Source organism: Homo sapiens, chromosome 1 (genome assembly GCF_000001405.40).
Source record: "Homo sapiens chromosome 1, GRCh38.p14 Primary Assembly".
Lineage (NCBI taxonomy): Eukaryota > Metazoa > Chordata > Mammalia > Primates > Hominidae > Homo > Homo sapiens.
In genome coordinates, this window is record NC_000001.11 from 190362746 (window position 1) to 190386982 (window position 24237).

The 24237-nt window shown below is 34.2% G+C and overlaps 1 protein-coding gene across 14 annotated transcripts in view; it reads right to left on the bottom strand.

The window, feature by feature from the left end:
- The window catches only part of BRINP3 (BMP/retinoic acid inducible neural specific 3), a 380207-nt gene that overhangs the window by 265088 nt on the left and 90882 nt on the right, over positions 1-24237 (bottom strand). The window lies entirely within an intron of this gene.

The following is a 24237-nucleotide window of genomic DNA, read 5'->3' on the forward strand; positions in this document are numbered from 1 at the left end:
TTTCCTCTCATTCTGTCTTGTCTGCTGCCATGTAAGACATGCCTTTAGGCTTCCACTATGATTGTGAGGACTACCCAGCCACGTGGAACTGTGAGTCCATTAAATCTCTTTTTATTTATAAATTACCCAGTGATGGGTATGTCTTTATCAGCAGCATGACAATGGACTAATACAACCTCTATTTTTTTAATTTTAAAATAAAATCTTGATTCCAGAAAGAACTGTGATCATGATAGGATATTATTTCTATAAATAGGTTATTAATCACTTGACTTTGAGTTAAATATAATGATAATATCTGAGTGAACCCAACCTAACCAGGGAATCCCTTGGGAAAAATCTGGGCCCTGCCTAAAGGAAGAATGACTGATGTTTGAGAGGGCCTATTGGGATAGTCACATGGCAGGGAACTACGAGTGGCCCTGGAGGAGCTAAGAGCAGACCCTGGCCAACAGCCAACAACAAAATGGAAACCGCAACTGCAAGAAATTAAGTACTGTCTACAATGTAAGCTTGAAAGAGGACCCTGAGATTCAGAGAGGAATCTAGTCAACACCTTGATGCTAGCCTTGTGTTACTCTGAGCAGAGGACACAGTTCACCCCTGCCCAAACTCCTGACACGCAGAAATAGTGTTTGTTGTTTTAGGCAAATAACTTGATGTTCATTGGTAGACGACAATAGAAACTGAATACATTATTAGAGATCATAAAATATATAACCAAGAGAGGCAAGATATGAACGAGAAAGATTGAATTTTCATGAATCGTCTGATTTTTTATAAGAAACTTGGAATTTTTATGTGAGGGATGGGAATCCTAGAGTGACTATAAGGAGGGGCATAACAGGTGAGATTTCAAGATTTCACGTGCTCAAGATTGCCCTGACTGCATTTTAGAGGACAAATACGACAATGTTGCTATTGATCATGTAAGAGGCTACTGGGATCATCTGGGAGATAGCAATGGAGAGTCTGGGCTAGAGTAATCGTAGTAGGAATGGAGTAAAAATGAATGCATTAAATAAAATTAGGAGATAAATTCACTGGTGTGGAGATTATTTGCATGTGGAAGATGACAGAAAATAAACGTCTGAATGACTCCCAGATTTCTACTTTGGATGTCCCGAATGATGGGCTGCAACTTTCAATGGGAATGCAGGAGGAGGTACAGATTTGAATTGATGGGTGAGAGAAAACAAATTAAATTTTGGAAATGCAGTGTTTGGAGTATCTATAGAACAAAATATGAAGAAAAATGATATCCCAAATATTAGAGTACACTTTTATGTGAAATGCAATTCACAATCTCCTTCTTAGAAAAAAAAAAGTAGTATCTCTGATAAAATTTTCAAGATATTTCAAAAGAAATTTTTAAACTTTTAATAATATTCAGACTGATTCTGGGAAAGTAATCCCCTTCCCACCCTGCTGTCAGTCAATAGTTTAATAATGTAAGATTTGTGGGGTATTTTTTGAGTTTTGTATAAGTATTTTATAATGTTTTTTTCCAGAGATATCTCTAGTAAGCATAAGTTGGAACTGGTCTGTATCAGGAATCTACCCTTGTATCAAGATTGAAATGATACTTGAATGTGTGGTCTTATCTAAATGTTCTGAAAATTTTACTTCAGATAATATAAATAAATATTTCTGGTAAGAAGTTGGTATTTTCAGTCTCTATATCTGATATCAGTATCAGACTATGCAATAAACAACGTGGAGCCCAGGAAAGAGACAGGAACTTGGCAATCAAAAGCTAAGGAGCAGAAGAACATCAAACAGTCTTGCCCTATGAAAATATGGATCAAAGTGTAATGGTTACACTTTGGAACAGTTATAATGGTAAATTATAACAAGCTATATTAAATATATATTTTATGTAAAATTATAATAAATCATAGTAATCTAACAAATTGCTCTTCCAGTAAAGGTTGGATAATTCTAAGACATCTTGAGTAATCTTAAACAAATTTCAATAAAATATAGTTGAACCATAAAATAAATTTTAATAATGCTTGCAAAACTGTCTTTGCTAATAACATTTATAATAAAGCTTAAAAACTGGAATTGGACTACCAAACTAGCTAAGTCTAAAGATATAATTTGAAGGAGAGAATGGAACAAGTTACTGAGTGACAAAGAGACTATGTAGAGAATTAATTCGCCTCTGTATAGAATTTCCAAAAAGGAATTAACTCAAGACTCTATGGACTGATAAGAATCAAATTTGGCCTGGAATCAGTTAACTGGCAAGAGTTTGACCTCCCTAAAATCAAAGATGACATGGGAGGGCAGGTTGTTTTTATCCCTAAAATCAAATATGCCTTGTGAAATATTAAGACATTAAAAGATACTAACTACAAAATCATTTCTGATTGCATTATCATCTTTAGTAAATATAATTTATAAAAAGTTCTCAAACAAATCAGAATCCTGCCTGACTCCTGAACATGAAGTGGGACCACAGCACAACAGAAACTGAGACTCCTCCCCAGCAGAGATGACCACTGTGAATGAAGTTTTGGAAATTGTGTAAAAGAGGCATTGTGTTCAGTCATCCAGTCATCCATCCATTCCGTTGTATGCACATTCATATAAGCATTGATTTTACTACATTCTATGCCTTTAATCTGCTGGGTGCTAAACCTGCAATTCTGAACAAACTAGACAGAATCCCAGCTGTCATCAAGCTTACATTTCTTCATGGGAGATAGGTATTAAACAAATATTATAATATTAATTATAATGTTATATGATTAATATGATAATTATATTATAATTATAATGTGATGTACATTTAATTACAATATAATTATATTTTAGTTTTGTTATGATATTAATTTAATATTATAACAATTATATTAAAATATATTAATATATTTTATAATTGTAATATAATGATATAGTAAAAATATATTATAATTAATATAATACAATATAATACACAATATAATATTATATTATAATAGTGCTATAATATTAAATGAATATTATAACATTATAAAACTAAAATGTATATTAAAATATAAATGCTGCGAAGAGTACAATGAGAGAGCAAGTGTATATATATATATATATATATATATATATACACACACACATATATAATGTATATATCCTGTCAAAATTTGAGAGATAAGAAAAAATATCTTTAAGAAATACAGGTGGACCTGTAAGAAATAGAAGGAAGGTAACTGGAAAAAGAGAAATAATGGCTTTCCAAAGAAATAACACAAACCTTCCCCTGAGGCATAAAGAATCATGGCCACTGTATCTTGCAACACCTAGACACAAAAATAGCTTCTCCTTAGAAACTTAGAAAGGTAAGATGAGAAAGGATCAGATCGAATAATTGGAAATTTTTCTCTGTTGTTACTTTGTCTCAGTGTATTAGTCTGTTCTCATGCTTCTATAAAGAGCTGCCTGAGACTGAGTAATTTATAAACGAAAGAAGTTTAATTGAATCACAGTTCTGCAGGGCTGAGGAGGCCTCAGGAAACTGTCATGGCAGAAGATGAAGCAAGCATGTCTTTCTTCACAAGGTGGCAGCAAAGAGAAGTGCTGAGCAAAGGGGGAAAAGCCCCTTAGAAAATAATCAGATTTCCTGAGAACTCACTCACTAGCACAAAAACAGCATGAGGGTAACTGCCCCCATGATTGAATTACTTCCCACTGGGTCCCTCCCATGACATGTGGGGATTATGGGAACTACAATTCAAGATGAGATTTGGGTGAGGACACAGCCAAATTATATCATTCCACCTTTGGCCTCTCCCAAATCTCATATTCTCACATTTCAAAACACAGTCATCTTTCAACAGCCCCCCAAAGTCTTAACTTCTTCCACCATTAACTCGAAAGTCCTATGCCAAAGTCTCATCTGAGACAAGGCAAGTTCTTTCCACCTATGAGACTATAAAATCAAAAGCAAATTAGTTACTTCCTAGATACAATGGGGGGTACAGTCATTGGGTAAATACACCCATTCGAAATGCAAGCAATTGGCCAAAACAAAGGGGCTACAGTCCCCATGCAAGTCCAAAATATAATAGTGCAGTCATTAAACATTAAATTTCCAAAATGATTTCCTTTGACTCTGTGTCTCACATCCAGGGCACACTGATGCAAGAGTTAGGCTCCAACAGCCTTGGGCAGCTCCATCCCTGTGGCTTTGCAGAGTATAGCCCTCCTCCCAGCTAGTTTCATGGGCTGGCATTGAGTGTATGTGGCCTTTCTAGGTACACAGGTACACGGTGCAAGCTGTCAGTGGAGCTACCATTCTGGCATCTGGAGGATAATGGCCCTCTTCTCACAGCTCCACTGGGTAGTGCCCCAGTGTGGACTCTGTGCGGGGGCTCCAACCTCACATTTCTCTTTTTCATTGCCCTGGCAGAGGTTCTCCGTGAGCATTCCACCCATGTAGAACACTTCTGCCTAGACATGCAGGCATTTCCACACATTCTCTGAAATCTAGGCAGAGGTTCCTCAACATCAATTATTTACTTCTGTGGACCCACAGGCCCAGTATAATGTGAAAGCTGTCTGAAGCAATGGCCCTACCTGTACCTTGACCCCTTGTAGCCATGGCTGGAGCTAAAGCAGCTGGGATGCAGGACACCATGTCCCGAGGCTGCACAAATCAGAGGGGACCCTGGGCCTCGCCCACAAAACCATTTTTCCCTCCTAGGCCTCCAGGCCTGTGATAGGAGGTGCTGCTGCAAAGGTCTCTGACATGCCCTGGGGACATTTTCCCCATTGTCTTAGTGTTTAACATTCAGCTCCGTGTTACTTACGCAAATTTCTGCAGCTGGCTTGAATTTTGTTCCAGAAAATGGGTTTTTCTTTTCTATCACATCATCAGGCTACAAATGTTCCAAACTTTTATGCTATGCCTCCTATTGAATGCTTTGCCACTTAGAAATTTCTTCCACCAAATACCCTAAATCATTTCTCTCTAGTTCAAAGTTCCACAGATATCTAAGGCAGGGGCAAAATGCCACCAGTCTCTTTGCATAGCAAGAGTGACCTTTACTCAAGTTCCCAAGTTCCTCATCAACATCTAATATCACATCAGCCTGGACTTCATCATCCATATCACTAGCAGCATTTTGGTCAAAGCCATTCAACAATCTCTAGGAAGTTCCAAACTTTCCCACATCTTCCTGTCTTCTGAGCCTCCATGTCTCTGGGACATTCCAAGTATTCCCACATTTTCCTATCTTCTTCTGAGCCCTCCAAACTGTTTCAACCTCTGCCTGTCATCCAGTTCCAAAGTTACTTCTACATTTTGGGGTATCTTCAGAGCAGCACCCCACTACCCAGCACCGATGTACTGTATTTGTCCATTCTTACACTGCTAATAAAGACATACCTGAGACTGGGTGACTAATAAAGGAAAGGGGTTTAATTAATGCAAAGTTCCGCATAACTGGGGAGGCCTCAGGAAACTTACAATAATGGTGGAAGGGGAAGTAAACATGTCCTTCTTCACATGGTGGCAGCAAGGAGAAGTGCCAAGCAAAGGGGGAAAGACTCCTTATAAAATCATCAAATCTCATGAGAAACGACTCACTATCACAGGAATATCATGAGGGTCACCACCCACATGATTAAATTACCTCCCGCTGGGTCTCTCCTGCGGCAGGCCATGTCTCACTATTGCAGGCCTCCATAACAACTGTTTCAGTAGTGACTGAGTGGTTAAGTTAAATATTAAAAGCCCGTGCCCTTATACAAAGGCTAGGATGTAACAAAAGCCCATCAAGAGTTTTGCCTAGGACTTTCCTGGGCCTTAAAGCATGACAAAATAATGAAAGAATTCTTAACAGGGCCCATTTAAGATTAAACAAGTTTTATTTTGGGTCTGAAGAGACTCCCCAGGCTTCCACAAACAAGTTTATTGAGGGTCTGAAGGAACTCCTGAAACCTCTGTGATTTATCAGGAGACAAGATAAGGGTAATCACCCCAGCACGTGGACCCATTTAGATTAAGTAAATTTCCTCGGGCTCCAGAGGAAGGTCTTCAGGAATCAGACCTTAGTTATAGATTAAAGGAAGTTAATCACTTACGTCTTTAGATGAATGTACACTTAATGCATAGACATATAGATTAGAAGGTTTATAAGCTCTGGAAAACTTCGTAATTTTGACTTGGTCTGGCATTAATTTTCAGGCCTTCTCCCTGTAACTGGTTACAGAAAATAAAAACTCTTTTCCTCCCTAGTTCATCTGAATCTTGTTATTAGACTGTGAGAAATAGCAGCCCAGCCCTCAGTTTGGTCTGGGAATACTTCCACAATACTTGGGGATTACAGGAACTACAATTCAAAATGAGATTTGGGTGAGGACACAGCTAAACCATATCATCCAGGTAAGTATTCTTATTTAATATCTGTAATATTAATAAAGAAGGTATATATATCTGAGATAAGTGTTTAATATACTGAGATTAAATATCTTTTGTTGTTATTATAATCGGGACTCCAACATCATATTTCAGTGCGAATAGGTAATCTCTAGAGTTGTGATAGAATTAGTGATAATATATTATTCTCATGATTAAAGTAGCTTTGTCAACTATGAGATAATAGTTGAAACATTTTCAAATAAATCTACTTAACATTCCAAATTTCATTTTAAAACCAGAATTAATATAATTAAGCTTTAAATTAAAGGAGGTAATCAGGTTGTACAATTCAAATAATTATTTGAATTAAAAAAGGTAGTCTTCAAAATTTTAGAAAAATCTTTCATAAATCAATATGTGAAAAATTTTAGAATATTGAAAAGGTATTCACATTAATATTAAATGTACAATCTCTGAGTATATAATGACAAAACATTTTGACAAAAAGACAATGTGTTTTCTAAAATACTATAAAATCAGCCACACTAATTTGCATAGACTTAAAAAAAAGTATGTTCTTGTGTTTTTTTAATAGATAGAGTATTTATGTACTTTCTGTGACTAGCTTGCTAGGAAAATTTAAGTCCAGGACAAGTTTTATAACGACTATGAACTTACTGACCCGAATATGTGACATAATGGTCAGATCTAAATTTCAATGTAATGCTTCATAATGTTAAATATATTATGTTTTTAAAATAATGTTTAAACTAATAATTAATAGCCACTAATTATTAATAAAAAGGAACCTGAATAAATATACATTTGCACTTTTGCAAATAATCTGATTTATTAAATATTTTAAACTCATTATGGAGTTGGTCACTGAAGACTCCTTGGCTTCATTTATTTCTAGTATCATACTCCTCAGCCTGCCAGAATGAACCACACACTTTGACCATCTCAGTGAAGAAATTGAAGAAGTACAAACAAAGAAAGGAAGATACTGCAAGAATGATTCTAAATAGTTTTCATCCCCGTAACATTTTCACAATTGTCAAATTAATCCATGAATGCATACACACATACACAAGCACAATTTTGTAAGCTGGTTCTTTAAGAATAAATAAGTCAATTAGATAAAACATTGTTAACCTAATCAAGAAAAATAGAGAAAGTCTAAGAAGGAAATTATTATAGAAACAGAAGATATTTGTAAAATATTTAAGAAACCAATTTAACAAGTCTATAGAAATAAATTTGAAAACCTAGATAAATGGATAATTTTCCAGAAAAGAAAGAATTAATTCATCAAAACTGTGTCCTGGAGATGATATAATTCTCAACAAACCATTAAGTAGAGTAAGCAGAAAAATTTGGGAGGGGAGGAATCTATCATCAAAAAAATATATAACAGTGGATTCAGAAGAAATTACTATCCAATACAGAAGTCTCTACATTTGAATCTTTATAAAGGCACCACAAATCAAAATTGTATTTAAAAATAACCAGACTTATGCGAAAAGTAGGTTAGAGGATATTTGGCGGCAGTGGGAGAGGCTGGCTTGGCTAAGGTAAGGCAGGGCCTTCATGGCGAAGCCTGTGCCTCCTGCCACAGAACTAGAACCTGCCACTGACCTTTGCAGCTACTCTGATCCTGAGAGTAAGAGCCAAGCCTAGAGTGTTCACTTTTCTCTACATTCTCACTATCGCTAGATATTTTTCATCTTTTTGACAATAGACTGTCTAAGAGGTGTGAGGTAACATATCATTGTAGTTTTAATTTGTATTTTAATTAAATAATTTTAATTTAATAATTTTAATTTGATGATTAATAATGTCTCATGATCATTTTATCAAATACCTGTTGGTCATCTGGTTGTCTTCCTTTGAGAAATGTCTATTCAAGTTATTTGCCCATATTATTATTGAACTATTTGTTCAATTGCTATTGAATTGAATTCCTTATATATTTTCAATACTAGCCTCTTATCACATCTTTGGTTTGCAAATATTTTATCCAAATTTGTAGGTAGACTACTCACTCTGTTTCTTCTTTCCTTTGCTGTGCAAAAACATTTAGTTTGATGCAATCCCCTTTATGTATTTTTGTATTTGTTGCCTGTGTTTTGGCATAATTTCCAAAAAGTAATTGCCCAGATCAATGTTGCGGAGGCTTTCCTCTAAGTTTTCTTCTAGTAGTTTTAAAATTTCAATTGTTATGTACAAGTTTTTAATCCATTTTGAGTTGATTCCCATAGATGGTGTGATAAAAGGTTCTAATTTTATTCTGCTGCATGTGGATATCTAGTTTTACCAATATCATTAGTGAAGACACTGTCCTTTCCCCATTATATGTTCTTGGCACCTTTGTGAAAAATCAATTGACTGTATATTTGTAGGTTTCTTTCTGGATTTTCATTGCCTTTCCATTGGCCACTGCTTCTGTTTTTATGCCATTATCATGATGCTTTGATTACTATAGCTTTGCAGTATATTTTGAAGTCAGGTAGTGTGACGGCTACAGGGGTATTCTTTTTGCTCAATAGTTTTGACTAGTGTCTTTTATGGTTCCATATTAATTTTAGGATTAAGTTTTTCTAGTCCCTTGAGAAATGTTCTAAGAATTTTGATAAGGATTGCATTGAATCTATAAATCATGTTGAGTAGTATGGATATTGTTAAATTTAACGATATCAATTATTTTAATCCAGGGGCATCTGGCATAGGGGGCACAGCTCCTGAAGACATTCAGAGAGTCTCCGACCCCTATCACATCTCCACCTTGGAATATGAGGTCTGTACAACCAGTACTATTACCCCATGTCCGACATTCACGGTGACATAAGCTTCAGGGGCTTCCTCATAACCTCATCAATGTTAAAATGGCACAGGATGAAAACTTAGCTGCTTGAAAAATAGCTACTGGTTTTTCACAGTGAATACGAGCATTTTAGAGTAGTCTTTAGCTTCAGAAACCACTTCTCCAGGGCACAGTGGGAAGAGGTGAAAGACTGCAGGCCTGACAGGCTAAGAGAGGACACAACAGTAATCCAGACCTCACAGACATTAAGAATTCATTGAACCTGCAAGGCTGGAAGGGACCTCAGACGTCCTTCATTCTGTTGCCTTGCATTCTGCCTGCATTGCCTCTGCAACCTGTTGAACCAAGCTCAAAGCGAGTGACCATTTCCATGGGTGGATACCTCACTGATACAGATGCTCCACTAACACAGATATTTCACTGTATCCTGCAATGAACCATCCTGTCAGAAAGTCCTTCTTTGCTTACTGAGGGTGTTTACTGACTGCTGAGATAGTACACATCAGCTGGGTGATTATAGACAGAAACAGCAGCTTTGTGATGCTCAGGTTACAACCCCATATAGTTCCAGAAAGGTTCTGACTGTCACAAGATCAAGACATGCATAAGCTGGAAATAAATAAGAAAGTGCCTCTGTAACAAGAGGTGACTGCAGGTCTGTGTTAATGTACTTTCCCTTCAGCAATTGTTATTTAGTGGCTTATACCCTAGGTGTGCAGAAAAGATTGTGCCTGAACCATGTGACTACCATATTACCTTGTCATAATTCCCCTCTCTTCTAATCGTTTCTAAGGCAATTTCAGTTCAGTTCAGGAATTACACTAAAACAGACAGTTGTAAAGAACAGATAATAGTAAAACAATTTGAGAGTATATATTTTCATCTAAATTCTTTTTTATCACACAAGTTTAAATAAATGGACAAAAGTAACAAATGTTAAACAAATAGTTCACAGACAAAGCTCTGTAGTAATATCAACAAAAAATCTAAATAAAATATTAGAGAATAAATTCCAGGACCTCATTTAAAGAATATTGACTAACAGGGGTATATTCTAAGATAGCAGAATGTTTGTAAACATTACATATCTAAGACATTAAATATCCCCAAGACATTAAATAGCTGAGAAGAAAATTAGAATGATATCCTCCCTGGCCACTGAATATAATATGTTAAAATTCAACAATAATTATTGGTCTAAAAAACACTGAATAAAATTAAAATAGATATTTGGGAGGCCATGGTGGGTTGATCGCCTGAGGTCAGGAGTTCCAGATCAGCCTGGCTAACATGGCGAAACCCCGTTTCTACTAAAAATACAAAAATTAGCCAGGCGTGGTGGTGCATGCCTGTAATCCCAGCTACTCGGGAGGCTTAGGCAGGAGAATCTCTTGAACCCAGGAGGCGAAGGTTGCAGTGAGCCGAGATAGCGCCATTTCACTCCAGCCTGGGCAACAGAGTGATACTTTGTCTAAAAAAAATAAAATAAAGTAGATAATTCCTTAATTATATATATATATGTGTGTGTGTGTGTGTGTGTGTGTGTACATATATATGTATATATGTGTGTGTATATGTGTATATATATACACACACACATATTTATACCAATGATCTTCATTATTTGCAAATTCTACATTTGTGATTTTGCTTGCTGGATAGAATGGATAGAATATATTTCTAACTCCAAAACTAATAATGGCAGCCTTTTGTCAGTCATTCAAAGAACATCCACAGCAGAGCAAAAACACTTTGAGTTTTTGATGTCAACATTCCCAGTTGAGGCCTAACAAGGCATTTCTCTGTCTTTTTGCTTCAGCTCTTATACAGGGGGTGAGACAGGTGGAGGAGCAGTAGTATTAGTTTGCTGCAGAAGTAATTGTGGTTCGTGCAAAAGTAAAACAATTAAAAGTAATGGCAAAAACTGTGATTACTTTTGCACCAACCTAACAGCCTCTTGGACTATGCTACACTGCCTCCTACTGTCTATATTTGTATGAGCAGAGACAGTAGGAGGCAGTGTAGTGTAGCGTAGCCCAAGAAGCTATTACTGCTCTGGAGCCAATTGCACAGGGTTTGAATCCTAAAGTGGGTACACTTAGGGGCATGGTCTTAAGCAAGTCACTTAACACTTCTGAACCTCATTTTCTCTTTTAAAAAATAAAGCAAATATAATTTACCTGGAAGAATTGTTTTAGGGTTCAAGATTATAATCTATGTGAGATGTGTATGTACACATACATATGCACAAATTATACTAGGAACAATGGTTCAGTATTTGCTAAATCTCTATTTGTGAAGTTTATAGGACATAACATAATAAGAATCAATTGTACATAACACACACACATTTTGTGAAAAGAAATCTATCTGTCTGTCTGTCTCTCTGACTATCTGTCTATCTATCTATGTTTCAACCCAAAAATCATATAGATGACATGGGCTAATACTGGAAGCTTTATTGCTAAGTCAAGAACATGGAAGTATTATAATCACCATTATTATCCAACACAGTACTAGATGTTTTTACCAATTTAATTCGTCAAAAGAGAAATTAGAAGTGTAAACACTAAAAAGGAGGCATCAAAAATATCAATATTTGTGAATAATATGATTTAAACTTGGCAATTTCACTAGAGTAAACTGAAAAACTTATACAAACAATCAAAGAATTCAGTAAGGTAGTGGGGTGTGAAATTAAAACACAGAAATCAATAACCTTCATGTATAGACACAAAGACCCATAGAAGACATAATGTGAGAGACAACTTATTTATAATATAAATAACAATAATAAGAACAAAAAGCATGAAAATAATGAAAAATGAAAAACATTCATTTGAGGAAAAATTTAAAACATTTTTAACAATCACAAAAGCAGAATGAGACAAATGAAAATAATAGAAAAAGTTAGAAACAGCCTCTTAAAGCTGTCATGAACAGGATATATGGAAAAATACACAGGTATGAATATCCAGGAAAATTTTGGAAACAAGGTCAACAAGGGACATTAAGTCCATTAGAACAAACAATAATTTAAGTACTCAATAATTTAAAAAATGGGTTAATAGCATCTGGATAAACAGACAAATAGAGTAAACTAATTTTTCAGAAATAGACCCAAATATGTAGAGAAATTTGCTATATCATAAAGGTAGCATTTCAAATAAATCAGGTATAATGGAATTTTAAATAAAAGGTATTTTTTGTAGTAATTTGGGAAAATACAACAAGGTAGTAATTTAGGAAATAAAGGAGTTGGGTCAATAACTCATCTCACACTAAGAAACGCAAATGGTTTAACATATATATACACACACATACAAATCATACATGTTTGTATATATTTGTATATGTAAATGTGTATATGTATACATATAAATATATGTGTGTATGTGTGTATATTCAATAATAGTGTAAAAGACAAGGCCATGTCACTTATGACCATGTACTGGAAAAGAGCACTCTAACTATGCTTCAAAATGTAAAAATCATAAAAGAAAATATTGATTTTTACTTTATAGAAATAAAAATATATGTTTATCCCCAATTAATGTATTCAAAAGCAAAAGGCATAACAAACTGAATAAAAGCAGTTCGTACTACAGATAAAAAGCCTAGCATATCTAATTTATAAAAATCTCTATATTTTAATAGGAAAGAGACCAACCCAACAGAAAATAGGCAACACATATGAACAGGCAGTTATATAAATTGAGTCACAAGTTCATCACCTCATATAACTGGATTCTGAAGAAACAATCTTGGCTGCTAACCTAATTACAGTTGTTCATACACATGTATGGAAATTCAATTTTAAAATACTTTCATCTTTTATTCTCGTAATAATGACAGAATAATTTCAAAAAGGCCCTCTGATATATTTGACATCTGGAAACATTACTGGTTTTCACTATTTTGAGGACATAAAAATAAATATGTTAGTGATTTTGTTTTTCCATTTTCTATAAGGATAATTTTAATTCCCTTTCAGGACATTTTTAGATTTAAATGAAAATGTAATCTCCATCATAATAAAAATTAAAAAATCATCAGGCATATATATTATAGGCTTTTCTGACAGCAAAAGTATATTTAAAATTTAACCAAACAGAATCCTTCTAATGACTGTGGACATCTTTAAATTTTAAGGCACTCACAGTTGCCAAGACCACAGAACAGTGTAACTACAGAACTAATTCTGCCTCTTCAGGGTTTAGTAGGCATAATTTATGAACATAGCTTTTTTTTTTAATATAGTAGCAGCTGTCTGAGAAACAAGACCTAAACAGGTTAAATAGCTGATTACCTTTGGGTGTTCTGAGGCTGTTTCAGTCATTCACTGTTTTGACTAAATGCTTTCTAGAAATTGCATCATATCTAGAACGTTCAATGCAGTCAAAGGAATGCACATTTAAAAAATTCAATATTAAAGCTGTAAACTTAACTCAGATTTTGATGCAGGCATAAATAAATCAGTGCTGTTAAATGAAATCAGGCTATCATCTGTCTGCCTACTTATTTATAACTGGTTTTAACAGATATCTGTTTGTGTTGTGACTTAGTATGCATTTTAAATGTGGAAGACGCTGCTGTAAGCTTTGTTTTATTCTCATAAAAATCCAGGCAGGTACTCAAAATTACCATATCCCCATTGTATTTATGAAGAAACAGAGAATTACAAGTAATTGTTAATTTGTTTTGAACTAGAAAACAAATACAAAGTTTGATATCATATTATAATTTCTTAAACATCAAACATTACTTTCTTCCAAAAAATACTGTTATGAATATTAATTGATAGTGAATCTATTTCGTTGAACCTTTGACATAATCAAATCCTTCTAAGTTCTGCCGATGTTAATTGATATATGTGTGTTGCTACATTAGTAAAATAATTTATCTTTTTAAAGGTTAATGTTTGTGTTTGTTTTTAAACTCATTTTCTATTTTTAGCCATGAAGATAAAGAAAGGCAGAGACAAATATCCACGCATGGTCTAGAGCAGTGCTATCCAGTAAATTTTTTTGCAATTATGAAATTGTTTTATATCTCTATCCTCCAATTTGATGGTCATTAACCATATGTTGGTACTGAATGCATGAAAAGTGACTAGAACAAATAAGAAAATTTTAATTAAGTTCTAAATTTTTAATATAATTTTATTTTGATTATTTTTAATTTTCAATATCCACCTATAGCTAATGGTTGCTATATTATAAAGTGCACCTCTAAAGCACATGCCTAACCACCCCTGTACATGCTAGAAATACTGTCATCCTACATCCACATATATCTCTAATCTGTCTGCTTATTTTTTCCATTTCTCAAACCACTGAGCAACAAACACTGTAAGTGTTTTCTAACTGGAACACCTGCTTTTAATCCCTTTAGACCGTTTTCCAGACGGCAATAAAACTAACCTTTAAAAATCAAATCAACAAACACAATACTTAATGGTGAATGACTGAAAGCCTTCTCCCTCATATCAGAAATAAGACAAGGATGTCTGCATTCACCACTTCTATCCACCATAATATTGGAAGTTCTAGCCAGACCACTTAGGTTTAAAAAAGAAATTACATCCAAACTGAAAAGAAGAAGTGAAACTATCTCTACTTGCAGAGGAAATAATATATATATATATATATGTAATCTGTTGCTATTTATATATATACATATATAATATATATAAAACCTGAAAGAACACACACACACACAAGTACACACATACACACACACAAAGTGTTAGAGCTAATAAATTCAACCAAGTGAAGGACTCAAAATCAACCCTCACAACAATTGTGTCTTTATACAGTAGCAATGAAAAATCTGAAAATGAAATTAAGAAAACTATTCTACCTACAACAGCATCAGAAATAAATTACTTAGAAATAAATTTAGCCAAGGAAGCTACACTGAAAAGTACAAAATATTGCCGAAAGAAATTAAATTTTTTAAATTTCTAAATAATTGAAAAGACATTCCATATTCATTGATTGGAAGATGTAGTCTTGTTAAGATAACACTACTACTCTAAACAATATATTGATTCAATATATCCATATCAAATACCCACAGCATTTTTGCAAACATATGAAAACTCATCCTAAAATTAATATGGAATCTCAGGGGACGGAATACTGAAGCAATCTTAAAAGAAGGAAACAAAGTTGGTGGTCTCACACTTCTTGACCTCAAAACCTACTTCAAAGTTAAACCAAACATGGAAATTACCTCCTTCTAGACAGTATTTGACAGTATTGTTTGTCTAGACGTAAACATGTGATCCAATTCTGGCCAGAGTCTCAACAGAAAGTCTCCTGGCACCTCTCTGAAAGACTTCCATCACTAACAGAAAAAAAACAAAAATGCTGTAGGAAAAAATGTTTCTTTTACATTGCTCTGTTCTTTTTGTCTGAACAGAGTTGTGTGAAGACTTCATTTTGGAGCTACAGTAGCCCCTTTGCAACATCAGACCATTGTAGGCAATTCTCCATGGGGTTATCTATTCCTCCTATAAAGACTTTTGCCCTGGGTTGTCTTTTGAAGGATGCTTGCATGGCAAATAGTCTTGAAACCTAGAAATAGTGTATTCCTTTGGGATGAGAGCAGATTCGTTTTCAGACCAGAATAACATATGTGTGTTGCTACATTAGTAAAATAATTTATCTTTTTAAAGGTTAATGTTTGTGTTTGTTTTTGCTTTTAAAATCATTTTCTCTTTTTAGACATGAAGATAAAGAAAGGCAGAGACAAATATCCAGGCATGCTCTAGAGCAGTTCTATCCAGTAAATTTTTTTGCAAATTAAGTGGTCTGGCTAGAACCAGAATAATGGTCCCCTCCAATGCAACAGTGAGTCAAGTTTGCTAGCAGTCCCATTATAAGATCTGGTATTTCCTGGCTTGGGGTTCCTCAGTTGTGACACTAATTGAGTGTGTGCGGCATCTATCTGAGCTGTTCACATGACCCCAGTAGGACTTGCTTGGCAAGGGGAACCAATGCAAACATGAAGTTCATGCTGCCTGCTATGCCATGAATCACAAAGTATTTTATACCTGACCCAGAAATCTCACGTCTTCCTTCAGCATTTATGAACCTGTGACAGGTTAATTACTTAAATTACAAACAGAGCAAAATCTCAAACCTTTCACAGTTCTCGATAAAAATAACTTTAAGTACAAAAGCTGACCTGCTGAAAACAATATACAAAAGATGGAAATGTACAGAGCCACTGTACCAAAATTGGATTATCTACCACCAGATTTTTATTACATGATTTAAAAAACAAAACAAAAAAACTACATTTTTATTCAGACATTTATGAATTAAATATGTGTTTATTGAGGAAGTACCAGTATTCTTGGCAACTGTAATGAATATTGCTGTATAAAAGGCACATTGAGATATTCCCCTGGCAGGATTTACATTCTACTGAGGAAGAAAAGGTACAAACAATAACCAATGAAAATATATGATCACAAAGTAATTACAGCTTGAGATTATTGCTATGGAGGAAGAAAAAAAATAACTTAAAAAGTAGGAGATTCTATTTTGGATACAACAGTCAAGAAATGCTGACATTTGAGGGCTGACCTAAAAGGTGGGAATGAGACTATCATGAGAAAAGCCAGGAAAACATATTCTGGATTAAATAAACAAATGAAAAAGCCTGGGAACAGGGCCTGAAGATCAAGGTAGCTAGGGGATAGCAGGGGAGAGAAGAATGGTGTAAGCAAAATTTGCAGAGATGGAAAGAGACAATTAATAAAGAAATCTGTAGGTTAATAAGAGATTTAGGGCTGGGCGCGGTGGTTCATGCCTGTAATCCCAGCACTTTGGGAGACCGAGGCAGGCGGATCATGAGGTCAGGAGTCCGAGACCAGCCTGGCCAACATGGTGAAACCCCATCTCTACTAAAGATACAAAAAATTACCTGGGTGTGGTGGTGTGCACCTGTAATTCCAGCTACTCAGGAGGCTGAGGCAGGAGAATTGCTTGAACCCAGTGGCGGAGGTTGCAGTGAGCTGAGATCGTGCCATTGCACTCCCGCCTGGGCAACAGGGAGAGACTCCACCTCAAAAAAAAAAAAAAAGAAAAAAGAAAAAAGAAAAAAAAAAAGAATATTTTTATTTAAGATACAGATGTGATCTAACTTACATTCCTAAGAAATCACCTTTGCTGCTCTGAGTTGAATTTACTCAGCCTTGTTGGATGCCTGTAACAATAGTCCAGGTCAAATATGATGATATCTTAAACTAAGTTTGGGATATGAGGACGGAGCAAAATGTATGGACTGGAGACTTAAAAGGGTTTTTTAATGGATTCAATGTGGTTAATGAGGGAAAGTGGGGATACCAGGAATGATCTGCAGGCTTTAAAAGTGCGGAAGTCACTGAGTCATGGTGAGGGAATAGAGAAAGTGGTAGAATTTTTGGAAGAATGTCAAAAGCTCCATTTTCAATGTATTAATTTTAAGGTAGTCATTTAATATCTAAAGGAAGATGTCAACAAAGTAGATGGATATTGGAATGGACGTCTGAAGGGAGATCTGTATAGGAGAAACAAATTTTCTACATCTACCTCAGAAAATAGTTGCATTTAACACTATGGGACTCAATGAGATTCTGGAGATAGACATTTAGGTTTCAGAAAAGACATCCTAGGACTGAGATTTAAGGCAAGGAAACATTGAAATGAAGGACATTAGATCCATTATGATCAGTAAAAGTATCCCAAAGTCAAACTGAATTAAGAAAAATTGTATTAATATATGAGTAAATCTACAGGCAGAGTATACTTCAGGGTTTTTAGATTCACCATATCAATAATAATGACAACACTTAATATTAGGTGTTATTATTTCTTCATTTTACAGATAGCAGAACTTCTAAAAAAAAACACAATTTGTTCGAGCTTACAAAATTAGCAAATAAATTAGTGGGGATTAATGCCTAGGCTCATTTCTATCACACCACTCATCTTTCATAAATAACACATTTTATCCCTCCTCATTATGATATTTACAAATCTCTAAAACTAGGAAGTCCAGTTATGCATATTTTTTACCATTGAGAAATATGAGCCTCAAAAATACTAGATGACTTCTTCAAGGTTACACTGATAAGTGATAGATTAAGGGCTAGAGCTGAAGTGCTGAAGTCTAAACTCCTGCAGGAGCCTCATCTCTCCCTATACCCCATGATATCATGTTGCCTGACTATTCATGCACCCATTATAAAAGCAGCTTTATATTCTTGTCTGTTTTCTTAAATTGTTTTTTAAAATTTACGTGTGTTGTCCTAGTTTCTCACTATGTCAATATTTTGCTTCCTTGACCTTTCCCTCCACCAAAACAAAACAAAACAAAACGAAACAAAACAAAAAAACACCGACGATCTGTGCAAAATTCTTAGCATTTGTGGCAGCACAGACTTTCAGTGAGCACAAATTATTTGGCCTCACTAACAATTATGTACCAAGCCAGCCCTGAGCTTCAGGAGTAGTATTCATATTTTTATAATGAGGTATAATTCTCATTCACTATTGTAAAGGGACATAAAATGAAGAAAATGTATGCATGTATTTGTGTCTTGTTTCCATTTTCAGAAATTAATATGTCTAACTTTACTATAGCTTTAATATTTTAATTGGTCATCTCAATGACCTTAAGTTTTCCCCTTAGCCATTTTTTCTTTTTAGCCCAAATCATAAAAATATTCATAAACTTCTGCCAAAGATTCATTAAATATCAAATAATAATAATGTAAATGAATGGCAGTGATTAGCACATTTTTCATTAAATCCATCAGCTAATTCTCATTCATGTTATAGGCCAATTTCATTTAACACACACGGATGACTTGTAGGTCCTAGGCATATGGATCAGTACTTATTTCCAAGACTATTTTAATATTCTTTTCTTTTTCATACAGATTACTTGTGGAAATTAACTTCTTCATATTTTATATGGTAATGTATTTGTCAGAATTAAGCCTAAATCCTCTGGATAAAGCTTAAGACACATAAAATTATAGCTACAAAGGCACAAATAATCAGTGGCCAAAAACAATATGTGCATGTACGAAACAGATACACATATTGCATACGACCATTTATTCCTTGGAGCAAACGTGTGGCTATACTATTAGTAACACTTTTGCTTTAAAATATATTTTTCTACTTCTGGAAGTCTGAAAATTTGTATCACAGTGAAACTTCCATTTCTATTTGTGCTCTTCCATGACATGAAATACAAAATCAGAAAAAAAAAATCTAGATGCATGTATCTACTTCCAAAGAGACTTAAGATTTTTGTTTTTTAATTCTCTCAACTTTTCCTAATTACTTCACACTTAGAAATCCTGTCACATCCTTCTTTGTCACACAACTGGGATTTACATTCCTCTCCTAATACACCATCACAAATGAAAACACTGTTTCTGGTTCCAACTGCATATTCAATAGCTGCTAAGAAAATTAGAAATGTGGACTCATTTAATGAGTCTTAGCAAATTCATACTTCAACTTAGTAGTGCAAGAAGTTTAAAAAAAATCCGAAGTATAAATTTTTGCAAAAGATCACAATGAGCAAAGATTTGATTTATTTAAAGGTGAGGAAAACGGACACTCATTCCTTAATCTTCCCGAGGAAAAGACAATCTACCTTGGGCAAATGCCGAGGCAAGGTACATATTTATTAAATGTTTTCTCCTTCCAGAATATGCCATTCAAAGCTGTCCTTTATCTGACAATTCAAATGCCCTTCTAATGAACTTCAACTGCTTTCAAATATTTAAAAAAATTATCATTGTATACTTTCTTTCACAAAATTAGCAGCCACTGAATTTGCCAAAGCCCAGTTCCAGTAGGTCTTTGCAGTTTATAAGATCCAAGTGAATGTGCCTAGTTACGAGCCTAGAAGTTCAAGCCCTGTAAATGAACCACACCAAACCAATCCGGGAAGAGCAAATGCCACAGTTCCTTCAATTCACTGTGACCATGTAGATCCAGCCCCATTCAAAATTTCCTCAAGTGCTTTCACCACTTTGGTTTGGCAAATTGACAGCTCAGAATAGATACAGTATTGATTTGTGTCTTCACAGTGGTGCAGGTGGAACTGGTATATGAAAGGAGGCCCTTGAAATTAGTATATTGGCACTCTTCCATTCCTGATATATTTTTTTTCCTCCCTATTCAACTCATTTTGATCAGGAAAGTATCTAACTGGGTGCTTTGTATGAGATCGTTAACAAAGTAATGCCTCTTGTTTTTAAATTTTTTATTGAGCCATTAGATTCAGAAGAACTTAATTTTCTTGTTACAGTATTAAGATAGCAATAAAGCCTGATTTATTATTCATGGAAGTCATTATTTGCCACCTTTAGGTTGCAATATTATGGCATTTGGTAATTATGAGCACATACAGAAGTGAGAACTCATCACAATGACATTGTAACAATACATTTCCCTCGTAAGAGAATGCAATCAGTGTAGCTATTTCCTACCTAGCAAGAACTACTATCTAAATTCTGGATATTTTACCCTTGTTCCCTAAAAATTTCCAGAACATATAAACTATAAGTTACTCATATGAGATTCATTTCTGTTAGTGTATGTATGCCATAGTGTTAGAGAGTATATCATTTTGTGCTAATATGCGAAATGAAACATGAGTAGTGAAATAAATTTCAAATAAGAAACCCTAGAAAGGAGTCCTATTTGCCACTTTGCAATCCATTTTACCTGGTAAAGTTACTCAGTATTTCCCAGCTCTATTTTTCTTAGCATAGATAGTCAGAATAACACTAATTTCAGAGGATTATATGATGTAATAATGTTTGTGAAAAAACACTTCTGAATTTATAAACATTATACAGATATTAAATATCATTGATAATCACAAGGAAGTGTTTTCACAGACAGGCTTATAAAATAATAAATGTTATTGATTATTAAGTGCTTATTAAGTGTTGCTTCTTATTCTAAGCACTTTACATGAATTAACCCATTCAAACACTACAATAACCTCATGAAGTAGTTATTATAGTTATCCCAGTTTTACAGATGAAAACATTGAGACACAGAGAAGTTAAGTAACATCATAAAACACACATTAATAATGTGGCCAAGATTCCAATCTAAGGAATCTTCTCTTTTGTCATATGGTTTCATATATATCATATAATTTAACATTATTTTAATAATGAGATAATATTGGCCACAAATGTTTTTTTTTTCATTGCCTTATCATTGCCTTCCTTTTTCTTCAGGTTTTATTTTTGAGAATTTTGTTAGTATAGTGTCATGAATATGTAGTCATCAAAAGTGGATCTAAAGAAAATCTATTATTTTATGTTTTATACAAAATAGGGTGAAGATAATTTCATTTTCACAGAAAGAAATCTAAGACATACATTTTGCTTCTAGGAAAATCAAACTGTAATTAATTCATTATTTTAAGTAATGAAAACTGATCTATATCAATGGATTTAGGTATGTTTTGCTTTTGCAGAGTTTTAATAGAATCTGTAAAATATTGCTGGAGATAAATATCACATATATATCAAAATGTAGAAAACTATAAATATTAATAAATTCCCAAAATTTTACGTTCAGGAGCTTAGTCTATAGAAATATTGAGATAATTTATAAAAATAAAAATAATAGTTCTTACTGTTGCCAAGCACTACTCCAAGTCTTTTTCTGATACAGTCTTACTTTATTTGTACCTCAACTCTGTGAAGCTAATACTGTTATCACATCCTTTATAAGTAAGCAATCTGAAATTTAGAGAATCAAATTAATTCACTCAAAATTATATCACTGCTTCATGAAGCACCCTGAACAAAATTTAAACAAGGCAATTCCAAACCACTATATTATAATTACTATTATATTGTAATAGATTATTTTCTCAGATTTATCATATAAGAAACAAAATTAGATGATAGAATATTGATAAAAATAATGAACAGAGCCCTCAGAAATAATGCCACATATCTACAACTATCTGATCTTTGACAAACCTGACAAAAACAAGGAATGGGGAAAGGATTCCCTATTTAATAAATGGTGCTGGGAAAACTGGCTAGCCATATGTAGAAAGCTGAAACTGGATCCCTTCCTTACACCTTATACAAAAATCAATTCAAGATGGATTGATTTTTTAGGTCTAACTTAAACGTTAGACCTAAAACCATAAAAACCCTAGAAGAAAACCTAGGCATTACCATTCAGAACATAGGCATGGGCAAGGACTTCATGTCTAAAACACCAAAAGCAATGGCAACAAAAGACAAAATTGACAAATAGGATCTAATTAAACTAAAGAGCTTCTGCACAGCAAAAGAAACTACCATCAGAGTGAACAGACAGCCTACAAAATGGGAGAAAATTTTCGCAACCTACTCATCTGACAAAGGGCTAATATCCAGAATCTACAATGAACTCAAACAAATTTACAAGAAATAAACAAACAACCCCATCAAAAAGTGGGCAAAGGACATGAACAGACACTTCTCAAAAGAAGACATTTATGCAGCCAAAAAACACATGAAAAAATGCTCATCATCACTGGCCATCAGAGAAATGCAAATCAAAACCACAATGAGATACCATCTCACACCAGTTAGAATGGCAATCATTAAAAAGTCAGGAAACAACAGGTGCTGGAGAGGATGTGAAGAAATAGGAATACTTTTACACTGTTGGTGGGACTGTAAACTAGTTCAACCATTGTGGAAGTCAGTGTGGCGATTCCTCAGGGATCTAGAACTAGAAATACCATTTGACCCAGCCATCCCATTACTAGGTATATACCCAAAGAACTATAAATCATGCTGGTATAAAGACACATGCACACATATGTTTATTGTGGCATTATTCACAATAGCAAAGACTTGGAACCAACCCAAATGTCCAACAATGATAGACTGGATTAAGAAAATGTGGCACATATACACCATGGAATACTATGCAGCCATAAAAAATGATGAGTTCATGTCCTTTGTAGGGACATGGATGAAATTGGAAATCATCATTCTCAGTAAACTATCGCAAGAACAAAAAACCAAACACCGCATATTCTCACTTATAGGTGGGAATTGAACAATGAGATCACATGGACACAGGAAGGGGAACATCACACTCTGGGGACTGTTGTGGGGTGGGGGAGGGGGGAGGGATAGCATTGGGAGATATACATAATGCTAGATGACGAGTTAGTGGTTGCAGCGCACCAGCATGGCACATGTATACATATGTAACTAACCTGCACAATGTGCACATGTACCCTAAAACTTAAAGTATAATAATAAAAGAAAAAAAAACTTAAAAAAAAAATAATAAAAATAAACTACAAAAAAAAATAATGACTCATCCTTTAAGTCAAAGATATGGGGCAACTAAAATCAATGCTGCAGGTCTGTACTTGTGACATGGGACTGTTTTTCATCTGTTTTTAAGTATAAGGGAATAAAGGAAATAAATACCAGATTTTAAAAAAATGTATATATTAATAATTAAGTTTTATTATTTTAAATGTCTAAACAAATAAGTATATTTAAAATGTTAAATATATCATTGAAAATATTTATAGTAATTCTCTTTAAATCTCTGTTAGTGAGATTACTTATAGATTTAACTTTGCACTGAATTCCATAGACAAACTAATTTTGTAAGGAATCAATATTGCCTACTGAATAAGTACACCAGCTCTGGAGTCAGATGCCTGAGGTGATCCATCAACTTCATCTTTTGAGCTTGGATGGGTAATTGGAGTCTCTTCACTAACTTCCCTAAGCTTGCACTTACTCTTCTGTAAAATAAAAATGTGAATAATATATAGTTCATGGAATTACATTAAGAATTAAATGACTATACAAATAAAGGGCTTACAACTCATATTGCTAGCTATTTCTTAGCTATGCCATAGGGTAAAAATTTGTTTATTATATTTTCTTTTGTTCTCTAATTTTACTATCATAAACATTATTTTAAAGTGAGAAAAAATCAGGACTTATCTTTTTGATTTTTAAAATTATTTGCCAACGTTTGCACCACCA